The sequence below is a fragment of the Homo sapiens genome, chromosome 17 (assembly GCF_000001405.40).
Source record: "Homo sapiens chromosome 17, GRCh38.p14 Primary Assembly".
Lineage (NCBI taxonomy): Eukaryota > Metazoa > Chordata > Mammalia > Primates > Hominidae > Homo > Homo sapiens.
Genome location: NC_000017.11, coordinates 61985244 through 62001223, shown reverse-complemented (window position 1 = coordinate 62001223; position 15980 = coordinate 61985244). Strand labels below are relative to the sequence as shown.

General features: G+C 38.1%; 1 protein-coding gene across 4 annotated transcripts in view; it reads left to right on the top strand.

The window, feature by feature from the left end:
• The window catches only part of MED13 (mediator complex subunit 13), a 122674-nt gene that overhangs the window by 64055 nt on the left and 42639 nt on the right, over nt 1-15980 (top strand). For all 4 annotated transcript variants that reach the window (XM_011525551.3, NM_005121.3, XM_011525553.4 and 1 more), the window contains 3 exons: nt 5859-6072; nt 8603-8684; nt 14096-14217. In XM_011525551.3, the coding sequence (XP_011523853.1) occupies nt 5859-6072; nt 8603-8684; nt 14096-14217 (418 nt within the window). The remainder of the gene's footprint in view (nt 1-5858; nt 6073-8602; nt 8685-14095; nt 14218-15980) is intronic.

Here is a 15980-nt window from a genome sequence, read left to right as displayed (position 1 = left end):
TTTAGTTCATGAGGTAGAAAGATGAGAAAGAATAGGTTTGAAGGTGTCTGTACCATTGTTTTTACCCACTTTAGGCTAAATCTTACCAAACTTAATTTTTCTGATTTTTTTAAAGTAGCGTTTCTAAGTAGAAGTACCTTGGAATAACTATTGAAATACCTAGGCTGGGCGCAGTGACTCACGCCTGTAATCCCAGCACTTTGGGAGGCCGAGGTGGGTGGATCACGAGGTCAGGAGTTTGAGACCAGCTTGGCCAACATGGTGAAACCCTGTCTCTACTAAAAATACAAAAAATTAGCTGGGCGTGGTGGCAGGCGCCTGTAATCCCAGCTATTCAGGAGGCTGAGGTAGGAGAATCGCTTAAACCTGGGAGCCAGAGGTTGCAGTGAGCCAAGACCACGCCACTGCACTCCATCCTGAGCAACAGAGCAAGACTCCATCTCCAAAAAATAAAACAACAAAAAACAAAACTATTGATACACCTTATGAAAGTAAGGTCTTGCTAAATAATGAAGGTCTGGCTAAATAATAATGGCATATCCACTTAAATAAGCAAAGGAAATCTGTATAGGCTGATATGAGAAGCTCTGTATGTAGATGAGGAACCAAAGTACATATGTGCATACATATATGCTGGCATATACCTAGGTTTTTTTCCACCTTAATTAGATGATAGAAATAGTACTTGTTATCTTGAAGGAGAGAGATTGATACTTAGGCTTTTCATCTTTTTGTACTACATGACTTTAGCTATGTACATGTAATGTGAGTACATCGTAAACATGTGAATGCAGTTTGAGGTGCCTGCTGAGAGATTCCATCAGGCGGTTGGGATCATGTCTGAAACTTAATAGAGGGGATTGCTGATAACCCAGTTAGAGTAGATATACAATGCAAAAGGACAAGAATGCATCAGTAGAAACAGAGAACTAGTGGATTTATAATAGTGGAACTTTTACAGGTATGTGACTTCATAGAAAATTACGGTAGGAGAAATTCAAAGCTTTGTTTTATTTGTGTTAAGTGAAACTCCATTTTCTGTTTGGTGTAAATAAATGTTTCCATTGATTGCTATTGAAAGGTGGCACTGTCCTTCCATAGTAGTGGGTTAGTGAAAGAAATTAATACTCTTGATTTTTATTTTTTCTTTTTATGAGAGAGGATCTTGCTCTGTTACCCAGGCTATGGTGCAGTGGCATGATCATGGCTCACTGCAGCCTTGAACTCCTGGGCTCAAGCCATCCATCCTCCTTAGCCTCCCAAGAAGCTGAGACTACAGACATGTGACAATACCGCTTGGCTAATTAAAAACATTTTTTTTTAGCCAGGATTTTAGACAGGATCTCGCTATGTTGTCCAGGCTGGTCTTGAACTCCTGGTCTCCGGTGATGCTACTACCTTGGCCTCCCAAAGCGCTGGGATTACAGATGTGAGCCACTGCACCCAGCCCTCTTGATTTTTCTGATTAGCAGTTTCAGGTGGTGATGGCTACCTAACTAGTATAGCATTATAGAATTTATCATTTCTGAGTACCTTTTTTATTCTTAGACTTTCATGTGTAGCAATTTTATGTTTAACTTTTCATTGACTATGTTTGTAAAAGTAAAATTTCTCTAATTTGTTAGAATTTACTTGTGGGGAAGGAGAGGTTGGAGTGGAACATAGCATAACCCATATATAAGATACACGTGGCAAATATCTTTTTTTCTAATTCTTTTTAGTTTATCTATTAGTTAATGATAGCATGTATTTCAGAATAGAGGCTAAGAACCATATAGATTTTAAAGATAGCAAAATTTCTGGCAAGAAACATTATATCTTTTTTTCATGGGTTTAGCACTTAGTTTTAGAAGAATTTGTGATTGTTTAGTCTGTGATTCTGATTCAGAGGGAAACCTGTCTAAACCCTGAGCAAAGAAAGAACTGTATTTGAGCATAGTTCTTTACATGTTTTATTCTGTAGCCAAAGTATATCAGGATATCTTAGCCATGATATTCATCAATAGAATTAACTCCTATGTTGTGTTAGTGGTATACCAGATTTGTATGTATATAGTTGTAGAATACATTATTTGATCTCTAAAACATAGTTCTGAATGCCTTTGATTCACAGAAAGAAGTCTGTGATGAAATAAACTTGTTTTGATTTTTCTGTACTCTAAATCTTTTAAGTAAGTCTTCTATATTTGCTGTTTTATTTTAATGCAAATAAAGCTTTCCTTTGACAGTGACCTTGGCTCAGTTTAGGGATTGATTCTGAATATAGGAGACGGTAAAAAAAAAAAAAAAAAAAAAAAAGTACCATTTAAAAAGTGGGAGATTTTAGGCTGGGCTCAGTAGCTCACACCTGTAATCCCAGCACTTTGGGAGGCAAACATGGGAGGATCACTTGAGCCCAGGAGTTCAAGACCAGCCTGGGCAATATAGTGAGATCCTGTCTCTACAAAAAATAAAAAACTAGCCAAGTGTGGTGGTACACACCTGTAGTCCCAGCTACTCAGGAGGCCGAAGAGGGAGGATACTTTGAACTCTGGAGGTGGAGGTTGTAGTGAGCTGAGACCGCACCACTGCATTCCAGCCTGGGTGACAGCAAGACCTTGTCTCAAAAAAAAAAAAAAAAAAAAAAAGGCGGTGGGAAGATTTTGACATTATTGCATTCATTTGTTTCTTAACTTTCCGTCTGTAGCTTATCTGCTTCTATAATTGTCATCTTAAAAACTGTCATACCTCATCTGGAAGAATTTTTATTGAATAAAGGCATAACAGCATATGCTACCATAAGCTATGTTAAATTCTATATGAGTACATTTCAGGATAGTATGTTATTGTCATAGTAAAAGGAAAGAGTTGCAATTAATGAATAATATAATGCTTTGGGCCTTGCAGCACTTCCTGTTCATGGCTGTACCTGATCTTTTTGCAGTTTGTCTGTATTTAGCTTTATGTCTAATTGAAACTGTGTCTGTAGTTAATTATTTGGCTGTATGTGAAAGTTCGTTTGAGGAAAGGAGAGGGTTATTCGTATTCTAAAAGTGTATGTGTACTATATAATTGATGTTGACAGTATGGTAATTAGAGTTTTTTTATCTGGCATCTCTTAAAAGTAACAATTTTTAATTCTATTATCAGCTTTAAATATAGAATGTATAATGTAAATGAATTTATATTTTAAAATTTATTGTGTCTTGATACTCTTGAAATTGACTACATTTAAATTCTTTGCACATGCTAATGTCTGTGAGAATGATTCAATAAAATAACAAACAGTCATATTTAGGTAATGCATTTGGTTTACTCATTTTTTATTTTAATAGAGCCCTGTGCAGTAGAGTTGGTTTTTTTAATAATGTTACTGCACAGTAGTCTAGCAACTACTTATGTAAACAGTGTGAAGGTTTTTATACTTCTGCCAGAGGACAACGTAATATGAAACACCGAGTTTTATTTGTCTCTACAGAGAGTAGTAGTGTCTTTCAGGCTGGGGGAAGGGAGATTTCTTATACTTTATTCCCTAAGGATAGTTATTTGAATATAAATACTTAAAATCTTTTCATTTCTGACTTTGCCACTATGTGACCTCAGCAAAGCCCTTGATTTTACATAATTTCCACATCAAAGTCAGGGATAATACCCTTTGCTTCTTATCTTAAAATATTATTTTAAGTATTAAATAAGAAAAGTACATATCAAAGTAGTTAGAATTACTATTTTAAAAAGATTTGCATTAGTGAATATTTGGTAGACAATTCAGCTAACCGTTATTTAGAGTCTAATGTGGTGAGGTAAAAAACTACACTTGATACTCAGCTGTTTATAGAACAGAACTATCCTGATGATTAATTATAAAACATATCCCCAATGACAGTGTGCTAGCATTATATTCCCACAGCAGAAAGTTTTTGTATGCTTGGGATTTTAGTTTTTGCAATAAATCTGGGGCGTATTTGGAATAATAATGATATGTATTTGAGCATTTGATAGCATGTTTAGAAATCAGTTTTTGTTTTGATGGCCTACTTTGCCCCGAGTTTGTAAGAGATCAAGTGCTACTAGTGTTAGGCATTAGTGAATAGATGAATGAGATAAGATTTGCCTGTGAGTCAAAGAATGTACGATCTGCAAATACCTTCATTGCTACCAGACCTTACATATCTTACAATTTTTGTCTTAGTACTCAGAGTAGATAAGCAGTGGCATTGGTACCTTCTAGTGTGTAAAAATTGTTTATTTCAAAGTACAAGATAGTGTATTTTAGTAGTACTAATGCAAAAACATCTCAGTCTGTGATTTTTAGATTTCATTTATTCACTAGCAAGTATTGACACCTATTATGTACCAGGTACTCTAGGCATCTGTGCTAAATTAGTGAACAAAGGTTAGACCCCTGTCCTTGTGGAGCTTTTATGTTCTAGTGTGAGTGACAGTCAACTATGAATATAATAAATTATGTAATATGTTAAAAGATAAATGCTATGCAGGAAAATAGAGCAGGGTAAGGGGGATTATTATTGAGGCAAGTGGGCATGGGCATATTGCTATTTAAAATAAAGTAGTTATGGGCTCATAGGTGACATTTAAGCAAAGACTTGAAGGAAGTGAGCGAGTTGGCCATGCAGATATTTGGAAGGAGAATGTTCCCCATAAAAGAAATAGCCAGGAATGGGTCTGGAACCCATTGAGGAACATAAAGGAAGCCCTTGGAAGCAGTATAAGAGAGGACTAGAATAGTAAAAGATGAAGAGGAGAAGAACAAGATGATGGGAAGTTTTCATAGGATGGTATAAGGACTTTGGTTTTTTTCTCAGAGTGAAATAGTCATTGCAAGATTCTGGCCATGATCTGACTGCAAGCTTGGCTGCTAGCTACTGTTAGGACAACCTGAGAACCTTAGCTTTGTAAACCCGAGAGAATAGGAATTTGAGAGTCTAAACATGTCTTATGCAAACCAGAAGCTAATGATTCTGTGTTCACACTCACCGAGCAGTCGGGTCTTCAGAGAGAAAAAACTCCTGATGCTTTCCAGGGTTCTTTGGTATAGATCAGCTTGCTTCTTGTTGTGGCATCCCTCTTTTATCCTTAGATTTCAGCTTTCTGTGGTCTGTCAGTTTCCACTAGCTCATCTTTCCAACTTCCTTGTTGTCTTCTCTTTTATTCTGTCATCTCCTGTCATTTTATTGGTTATTTTAGGAGAATAAAGAGAAACAATTTCTTAGTTGCTGTGTTGAACCAGAAGACTAATAACTTAAAAATTGATGTGCCAATGTGATTAGAAAACTCAGATACTTGCACTGAAACTTCACTTTCCATTGTGAAACATCTTGCCAGAATTAATAGTAATAATGCTATTTTCATGAAACACAAATCAGGCCTTCAAAAATTTAAAACTTAAAGTATATCTACTCATGGCAGTAAAAAAAAAATACATAATCACTTTCCTTGTATAAATGTATAAATTGTTTAAAAGTATTTTACTCACTTTTATAAAGCTCCCACTTTGAGTCACTGTACTGGAGCAGTTTAGATTTAAGAGCCCCTTTCAGGGAATGGATTTGTACAAAATAGTGTGCTTGAGGACTTGAGAACCGTGAGTTACCTAAACCGTGAATTACCTAAAGACAACATATTTTGGTAGAAAGATCATATAGTTAGGAAACTTGGATTTTGGCCCCATTTCTCTATGGCTAAATTTTAGACTTCAATAAATTATTTAATATTTTCATGCCTCCTCATTTCTGAAATAAGGGATTGTAGGTTAGATAATCTTTAAGTAATTCTAAAAACATTATGATACTTAACGTCATTTTGGAAATTTTTAATGCTTATGTGGATAATTAATTTTTTTTAATTTTTTTATGCAGGTTAATGGTGCAATGTAAGAAACCTTTAAAAGTTTCTGATGAATTAGTGCAGCAATATCAAATTAAAAACCAGTGTCTTTCAGCAATAGCATCTGATGCAGAACAAGAACCTAAAATTGATCCATATGCATTTGTTGAAGGAGATGAGGAATTCCTTTTTCCTGATAAAAAAGATAGACAAAATAGTGAGAGAGAAGCTGGAAAAAAACACAAGGTAAGAGAAATCACAGTACACCAAAGGGTCACTGTTGATTTTGTAGCACTGCATATAGTAACACTCTTACTACCACAGTTATCTCACTTCTTTTGTCTTAGAATAGAAAGAGTAATCATTTATTTAGAAAAACTTATTTTTGCCCGGCTGCGGTGGCTCATGCCTGTAATACCAGCACTTGGGGAGGCCGAGGCAGGCAGATCACCTGAGGACAGGAGTTTGAGACCAGCTTGGCCAACATGGTGAAACCCTGTCTCTAATAAAAATACAAAAAGTAGCTGGGTGTGGTGGTGTGCGCCTTGTAATCCCAGCTATTCGGGAGGCTGAGGCAGGAGAATCCCTTGAACCCAGGAGGCAGAGGTTGCAGTGAGCCAAGATCAGGCTACTGCACTCCAGCTTGGGTGACAGAGCGAGACTCCGTCTCAAAAAGAAAAAAAGAAAAATGTATTTTTTTGAATGGGTAAATCAAGCACATGGTACCAATTATAGCTGACCTCTGATAATGAAAATATTTTGTTGTTTAAAAGTTTCTGGGTTGGATAAAGGGCATATTAAACTTGTCATAATTGAAATCAGGACATTTAGGTAGGCTATTTTGACAGTGATTTTAAAATATGTTGTAAGTGAATTACCAGTTTTCAAAGATACAATAAAATATACATCACTGAGTTTAAAAAATATGTGCTATTTTTGAATATGTGATTCAGGAACTTACAGTGCACCTAGAAGTAAAAATGAAGTGCAAGATATATAGTTATTAGAATAAAATTTAAAAATCAAATATATGAGAATTTGTTAAGATTAAGATAACTTTGCTACACAGGAATTATGTCTTATATACAAAATATGAAAATAGGCTAGACACAGTGGCCCACGCTTGTAATCCCAGCACTTTGGGAGGCTGAGGTGGGTGGATCACTAGGTCTGGAGTTCGAGAGCAGCCTGGCCAAGATGGTGAAACCCCATCTCTACTAAAATCACAAAAATTAGCTGGGTGCGATGGCGGGCGCCTGTAGTCCCAGCTACTCAGGAGGCTGACACAGGAGAATCGCTTGAACCCAGGAGGCAGAAGTTGCAGTGAGCTGAGATCATGCCAGTGAACTTCTGCCTGGTGACAGAGCAATACTCCGTTTAAAAAAAAAAAAAATTGAAATCTGTAAAGTTATGAAAAGGATCCAATAATACGTGTGAGTTTTTTTTTTTGTTTGTTTGTTTGTTTTGAGACGGAGTTTCGCTCTTGTTGCCCAGGCTGGAGTGCAAAGTTATGATCTTAGGTCACTGCAACCTTCGCCTCCCTGATTCAAGTGATTCTCCTGCCTCAGCCTCCCTAGTAGCTGAGATTACAGGCATGCGCCACTACGCTCGGCTAATTTTGTGTATTTTCAGTAGAGACGAGATTTCTCCATGTTGGTCAGGCTGGTCTTGAACTGCTGACCTCAAGTGATCCGCCCGCCTCGGCCTCCCAAAGTGCTGGGATTACAGGCGTGAGCCACCGTGCCTGGCCCCCAATAATATGTTTAATACAAAATTAGTTTCACAAAGTTTTACTTAGCCCTACTATATGCCAGGTACTTGAAATTTTGTCTTTTTGGAAGTATGAGAGTAGTGGTAGTTGGGAAGGCTGCAGGTATAATAGAAAGAACGTGAACCGGCTGGGTGCTGTGTCTCACGCCTGTAATCCCAGCACTTTGGGAGGCTGAGGCGGGCAGATCACCTGAGATCAGGAGAGCGAGATCAGCCTGGCCAACATGGCGAAACCCCATCTCTGCTAAAAATACAAAAATTAGCCAGGTGTGGTGGTGCATGCCTGTAATCTCAGCTGCTTGGGAGGCTGAGGCGGGAGAATCTCTTGAACCCAGGAGGGGGAGGTTGCAGTGAGCCAAGATCATGCCACTGCACTCTAGCGTGGGTGACAGAGTGAGACTCTGTCTCAAAAAAAAAAAAAAAAAAAGAAAGAAAGAAAGAAAGAACATGGACTTTGGAATTTGACAGATTTAGGATAAAATTTCAGCTCTCACTGTTTATCAGCCATATTTTCTGGGGCACATTAGAGTCTCTACTTTTGTCTATAAGATAAACATACCACAGGCCAGGCGTGGTGGCTCATACTTATAATCCCAGCACTTTGGGAGGCTGAGGTGGGCGGATCACAAGGTCAAGAGATTGAGACCATCCTGGCCAATGTGGTGAAACCACATCTCTACTAAAAATACAAAAATTAGCTGGGCGTGGTGGCATGTGTCTGTAGTCCTAGCTACTTGGGAAGCTGAGGCAGGAGATCACTTGACCTAGGAGGCAGAGGTGCAAGTGAGCCGAGATCGTGCCACTGTACTACAGCCTGGTGATAGAGCGAGAGTCCATCTCAAAAAAAAGTAATAATAAGCATACTACTTACTTGTTACTGTAAGAATCAGTGATAATGTATGTTAAACACTTAGCTGGATGCCTGACACACAGCTCCTCAATAATTGGTAGATTTTATTGTTGGTAAATTATATATTTCAGCCTAACATGAAATATTTGTTTGCAGGTAGAAGATGGGACATCTAGTGTAACAGTGTTATCACATGAAGAAGATGCTATGTCATTATTTAGTCCCTCTATCAAGCAAGGTAAAATCTTTATTTCCTAATGAAAATATTGCATTCCAGGATTGTTACTACAGACTGATCTGATATTGTTGGACTTCTAATGTTCCTTTTTGTATAATTCATTATGTTTCATAGAAAGGAATCTTTCTTAAATGATGGGTTTATTGGTTATCTTTTATTGGAAGAAGCAAGTTCAGGTGATAGAATTTGTGTTTTTAATTGTTGCAGCCTCTTTCCTGTTTTTACATATAAAAATAGTTTTCTATTAAAAACTCAGTTTTATGTAATAGATTTCTCACCCCCTTCTACTGGGAATTACGTGAAAGGAAGTAAAAGAATGAAGGCACATATTGACTGGAAAGTGATTGAGAAAAGGCCATTGTTATACTATGCCAAGGCTATGGTTATACTCTCCAGGAAAAACACACTTGAAAAAAATGGGAGAAAGATACTGATGTCCAGTTGGTTGACAGTAGAGTGTTTCATCATCATAACTCCAAGTGTTTGCTCTCTGAAGACACTACTTTCAAGCCTATAGCAATGGGGGTTACAATTCGAAGACTATCAGTTCTCTTCATACCTGTCTCCATTGTTTAAATTATAATTGAAAAATGGATCTGGGCACCGTGGCTCACGCCCGTAATCCCAGCACTTTGGGAGGCCAAGGTGGGTGGATCACTTGAGGTCAGGAGTTCAAGACCAGCCTGTCCAACATGGTGAAACACCATCCCTACTAAAAAAATACAAAAATTAGGCCGGGCACAGTGGCTCACACCTGTAATCTCAGCACTTTGGGAGGCCGTGGCGGGCGGATCACGAGGTCAAGAGATTGAGACCATCCTGGCCAACATGGTGAAACCCCGTCTCTACTAAAAAAATAGAAAAATTAGCTGGGCATGGAGGCACGCGCCTATGGTTCCAGCTACTCGGGAGGCTGAGGCAGGAGAATGCTTGAACCTGGGAGGCAGAGGTTGCAGTGTGCCGAGATCATGTCACTGTACTCCAGCCTGGCGACAGAGCGAGACTCTGTCTCAAACAAACAAACAAACAAAAATTAGCTGGGCGTGGTGGTGCATGCATGTAGTCCCAGCAACTTGGGAGGCTGAGGCAGCAGAATCGCATGAACCCAGGAGGCAGAGGTTGTGGTGAGCCAAGTTGGGCTGGGCACAATGGCTTACACCTGTAAGGCCGAGGCAGGTGGATCACCTGAGGTCAGGAGGTGAAGACCAGCCTGGCCAACAAGGTGAAACCCTGTCTCTACTAAAAATACAAAAATAAAGCATGTGTGGTGCCAGGTGCCTGTAATCCCAGCTACTTGGGAGGCTGAGGCAGGAGAATCGCTTGAACCCAAGAGGCAGAGATTGCAGTGAGCCGAGATTGTGCCACTGCACTGCAGCCTGGGTGACAGAGCGAGACTCTGTCTCAAAAAATAAATAAATAAATAAAAATTGAAAAATGATTTAGAATAAGCTCAACTATGATTGTGTTGTGACATAGAATAAATAGGAGTAAAATGTTTTAAAGTTTTCACCTGTAAAATGAGGAGATAAGGTCATTGCCTAAGGTCCTTCAGATCTAAAACCACAATTTCTAAATTAAACTTTACTGGAATTTTGCTGTCATTTTCTTCCCACACACACAAGTTAAGAGAGCTGTTCTGAGGCCACTAATTCAACAAATACTTAGTTAGCACCTGTTATGTGTAGGTACTGTTTGGGTATTGGGGACACAGTGGTCAAGACTCCACTTTGAATATGTCTGACTTAAACTCCTTGTGAATGGAATAGAGAGACATAGTATAGTAATTCATTTACAAAACCCATTTAACTTGTAAAATAATTTTTTTAATTGACAAGTAAAAATTATATATATTTATGGTATACAACATGATGTTTTGGGGGGGAGTGTGTATATATATATATATATATATATACACAGTGCGCCAAGTGTGTGTGTGTATATATATATATAGTGAGACCCTATACATATATACACACATACTAAAAAATATATATATATTTACATTTTTTTAACATTTTACTCATATTCTGTGTCACAACACAGTTACAGTTTATCTTATTCTAAATCATTTTTCAGTTATAATTTAAACAATGGAGACTGGTATGAGGAGAATTGTTAGTCTCCTATTGTAACCCCACAACTATAAGCTTGAAAGTACTGTCAAGTCTTCAGTGAGCAAACACTTGGAATTATTTTACATATATATGTGTGAGTGTGTATATATATGTGTGTGTGTATATGTGTGTGTATGTATATATAGTGGAATGGGTAGATCAAGCTGTTTAACATATGCATTACCTTACATACCTTTTTTGTGCGTGTGGGTGAGAATACTTAAAATCTACTTTCAGCAATTTGCAAGTATACAATATGTTATTATTCACTATGATGTACAGCAAAATCCATTTAACTTTTGATGTGGGCAAAGTAAGTCATCTTCTGGTGTGTGTTTTCGATGACAAAGTTTTAATATTTGGAATAAATAGAGGGTCAGTCTGTGGATAACCAAAAATAAGAAAAAAATCTATCTGAACAATGAACAAATGGTCTAGGTAGCTTGAAAATTCAACAGTTTGGATTCTTTGCCGGAGTGATCTACAGATTCAGAGCAATCCCTATCAAAATTCCAATGACACTTTTCACAGTAATAGAAAAAACAATCCTAAAATGTGTATAGGGTCACAAAAGGCCCTGAATGGCTAAAGCAGTCTTGAGCAAAAAGAACAAAGTTGGTGGCATCACACTACCTGATTTGAAAGTCTGCTGCAAGGCCAAGTGTCATGGCCCATGCCTATAATCTCAGTATTTTGGGAGGCCACAGTAGGAGAATTGCTTGAGGCCAGGAGTTCAAGACCACCTTGGCCAACGTAGTGAGACCCTATCTGTGTAAAAACAATAAATAGGCCAGGTGCAGTGGCTCATGCCTGTAATCCGAGCACTTTGGGAGGCCAAGGTGGGCAGATCACCTGAGGTCAGGAGTTTGAGACCAGCCTGGTCAACATGGCAAAACTCCGTTTCTACTAAAAATACAAAATTAGCCAGGTGTGGTGGCGTGCACCTGTAATCCCATCTATTTGGGAGGCTGAGGCAGAATTGCTTGAATCTAGGAGTCGGAGGTTGCAGTGAGCCAGGATCGCTCCATTGCACTCCAGCCTGGGTGACAAGAGTGAAACTCCATCTCCAATCAATCAATCAATCAAATGTTAAATATTTTAAAAATTAAAATATATGGCTGGGCGTGGTGGCTCACGCCTGTAATCCCAACACTTTGGGAGGCCAAGGCAGGTGGATCATGAGGTCAGGAGATTGAGACCATCCTGGCTAACACAGTGAAACCCCGTCTCTACTAATAATACAAAAAATCAGCCGGGTGTGGTGGCACACACCTGTAGTCCCAGCTACTTGGGAGCTGAGGCAGGAGAATCGCTTGAATCCGGGAGACAGAGGTTGCAGTGAGCCGAGATCACGCCACTGCACTCCAGCCTGGGCGACAGAGCGAGACTCTGTCTCAAAAAAAAAAAAAAAGCTGGATTCATGGAAGTAGAAAGTAAAGTGGTGATTACCAGAGACTGGGGGTAGGGGAATGGGGATGGCCAGGGGACACAAAATTTCAGTTGGGAGGAATAAGTTCAAGAGATCTATTGTAAATTGTGGTTACTACAATTAATAATAGATTGTATATTTGAAAATTCAGAGTAGATTTTAAGTGTTCCCAACATAAAAAAAAGTACCTGTATATGAGGTAATGAATATGTTCAGTAGCTTGATTTAGTCATTTCACAATACATACATTAAAAAAAAAAACGAAAAAACTCGGAAACAAATTGGGTTGTTTGGGCTACTTACCTATGCTAGGATGTTCCCTGGGATATAGGAAACATGTAAGCCCCTTCTTGTGCCTGTAGTTCAGCTTTCTCAAAATGTGAGACATATGCTACATTCTGGAGTATCTCCAAGGTGGAGCTTCAAAATCTTGGTTTTTAGTAAGTATCTTAGATGATTTTTACTTTTAAAATTTCAAAGGCACAACTCTAGTGAATCTTTAGAACTGACACACCAGAGACACTGGGGAAGTGACTTTTATCTTTCTGAAAACGAGGACTCTCAAGTCAGTTAACAGAGAATGATTTGGAAGGTTATGTATCAAATTGTTTTTCTTGTGCAGGAATATATTGGGAGTTTAATTTTCATTGTAATTGGTATCATGTTTTTGTTACCCTAAAACAGGGCGAGAGGGTAGGAAAATAAAATTGTAGTACGGTAACTAAGCGGTAATATTTATCTAGTACTTAAGCACCTAGTACTGGGCGAAGCACATTACCAACATTCTATTACATTTTATTCTTGGTATTGAGGCACAGAGACATTAAGTAATTTGTCGAGGGTCATACTGTTAGTGGTGGAGCTGGGATTCAGATTAAAGTCTGTCTGGCCCAAGAGTCAGCTCTTGATCATTGTTCTGTTCTTCGTTTACATTTCAGAAAGATAGAAAAATACAGGCCAGGTGAGGTGGCTCACACCTGTAATCCCAGCACTTCAGAAACAGAGGTGGGCAGATTGCTTGAGCCCAGAAGCTCAAGACCAGTCTGGGCAATATGGCAAAACCCCAACTCGAGGAAAAAAAAAAAAATTAACTGGGCATAGGGTCACGTGCCTGTAGTCCCAGCTACTGGGGTGGGAGGATTGCTTGAACCCGAGAGGTCAAGGCTACAGTGAGGTGTGATTGCACCACTGCATTTCAGCCTGGTGGTGACAGAGCGAGACCCCGTCTCAAAAAAAAGAAAAAAAAATTACAAGTATGTGTATGTGTATTTAATTGTTTTTCTAATAGTATTTATATTTTTATTTGATGCATTAATTATTCATGTAGAGTACTTAGCTATTTTATGGATTACCTGACCTTATAGTGAGCTTCCTGGGAAAGATATAATCATTTATTTATAACTTTTTTTTCTATAAAAACACTTTCTCGATTTTAAACAATAAAGTACAATTTCTTGTTGCATAATCCCCTTATGACCTTAAAGTTATATGTCTAATTTAAAAAGAATAGTACTTATGTGGTCATTAGTAGCAGGTTTTTTTTTGTTTTTTGTTTTTGTTTTTAAGATGGAGTCTCGCTCTGTCTCCCAGGCTGGAGTGCAATGGTGCTATCTCGGCTCACTGCAACCTCTGCCTCCTGGGTTCAAGCAGTTCTCCGTCTCATCCTCCCAAGTAGCTGGGATTACATGCGCCTGCCACCACACTCAGCTGATTTTTGTAGTTTTAGTAGAGACGGGGTTTCACCATCTTGGCCAGGCTGGTCCTGAACTCCTGACCTCGTGATCCACCCTCCTCGGCCTCCCAAAGTGCTGGGATTACAGGCATAGTAGTAGCAGTTTTAATTTTATTTTTCTGATTGACTTTTGTAGATGCTCCACGCCCTACTAGTCATGCCCGTCCTCCATCAACAAGTTTGATTTATGACTCAGACCTGGCTGTCTCTTATACTGACCTTGATAATCTCTTCAATTCTGATGAAGATGAACTAACAGTGAGTATCTCATTAATGAATAGGATTATAATTTGTTTTCCTTGATTTTATTATTTTTTTATTTTTTAGAAGTGATTTGTGAGTTTAATACTATGTTTTAGCCCTGAACAATAGGAAATATAGTAAAACCTCATTCATTGATTTCTTTTTTAAATCTCATGTTTGAGTAGTCTTGCCATAGTGTCATCTATAAACTTTGAGGGTTTTGTTTCTCCTTTTGTTTTTACATTTGGGGGACACATGATTAACCTTAATTTGAGCTCTGCCGTATGTTCTGTTTTGTAGTTTTAGGAAGCAGAATTATTTTCCTATTTGATTCTGTAGTTTGAGAAATGACTCTGGAATTTACTCATTCAGAGAACACATACATAATTGACATTAAAGTTATTTGCTTTGTCAATTTATTAAGGAATACCAGCTCTTTTGAATTTGTTTTGCATCACAGCTATTATAAGACAGATACATGATATAACAATAAAAGAGGAAAAAAATAATATTTAATCTTTAACACCCATTTGCAGAGAAAGGTGAAGATAAAAGAAATTAAAGCTTAAAATGAGATTCCCTAGAATGTCAAGTCTCTGTCAAATTAATGAATTGGGTGCTGCATTATCATAAAAGGGAATTCCTTTTCATCTGCATAAAGGTAGCTTGGAAACTTCTATGGTACATTTGATCTTTCCTTTCCTATATAATATGCATTTAGTCCTCTCTCAACATATATATCTCTATATGTGTGTATATGTGTGTGTGTACATATACATATATATATATTGCAGATACATAAACTTTTACTGTGTATCCCATAATGTAGTACATTTTAGGGCACCCTTTACTAGGCAACTATATCCTTGAATGCTTTGGCACATTCATACTTTCTCTCTACTACCATTCCTGTATCAGCTGTGGTTCCTCTGAAATAAAAGATTGTAGTCAGAACGTGGTCTACATATTAATATTTATCACAGACTGTCTAACAGAAGACATGGAACAAATGTTAGCTCTGAAAACACTGGTAAGAGCTTGGAGATAGTAAAACTTGTTTGTTCAATCTACTAAAAGTTAGGAACTCTATTGCTTTGTCATTAGATCTTCTGAAGTTTGTACTTAGTTTTACCTGTTAACAGTATTTTTGCAGGAATAGGGAGACTATTAAAACAAGGTGAAAGTATAAATAAGAATTTAGATAGGTGAGTGATTGATTATATAGGAAACTTTAATGTGTTCAACTTAAGGAGACAAATGCTTTCTCTGCAAGTATCTTTTACCAAGAAGCATTTCTAATGTTAATTACAACCCCTTCTTATTGCAGGTTTTCTTATTTTTATTTATTTTAAGACAAGAGTCTCATTGTATTGCCCATGCTGGAGTGCAGTGGTGCAGTCCTGGCTCACTGCAACCTCTGCCTCCCAGGCTCAAGCAATTCTTGTGCCTCAGCCTCCCGAGTAGCTGGAATTACAGGCATGCCCCACCCAGCTAATTTTTTGTATTTTTAGTAGAGATGAGGTTTCACCATGTTGGCCAGGCTGGTCTCAAACTCCTGGCCTCAAATTGATCTGCCTGCCTCAGCCTCCCAAAGTGCTGGGATTACAGGTGTGAGCTACCATGTCCGGCCTCTTATTACTGGGTTTTAAGTTAAGGTTAACCTTACTTCTGTGTATTTTGAAAGTATTGGTCATTTTCTTTGGAGGAACTTTTTCCTTTTAATTTGGAGGCTTACCAAATAAATTAATCTGGAGTCAGTGATTAAGAAATATTTTATA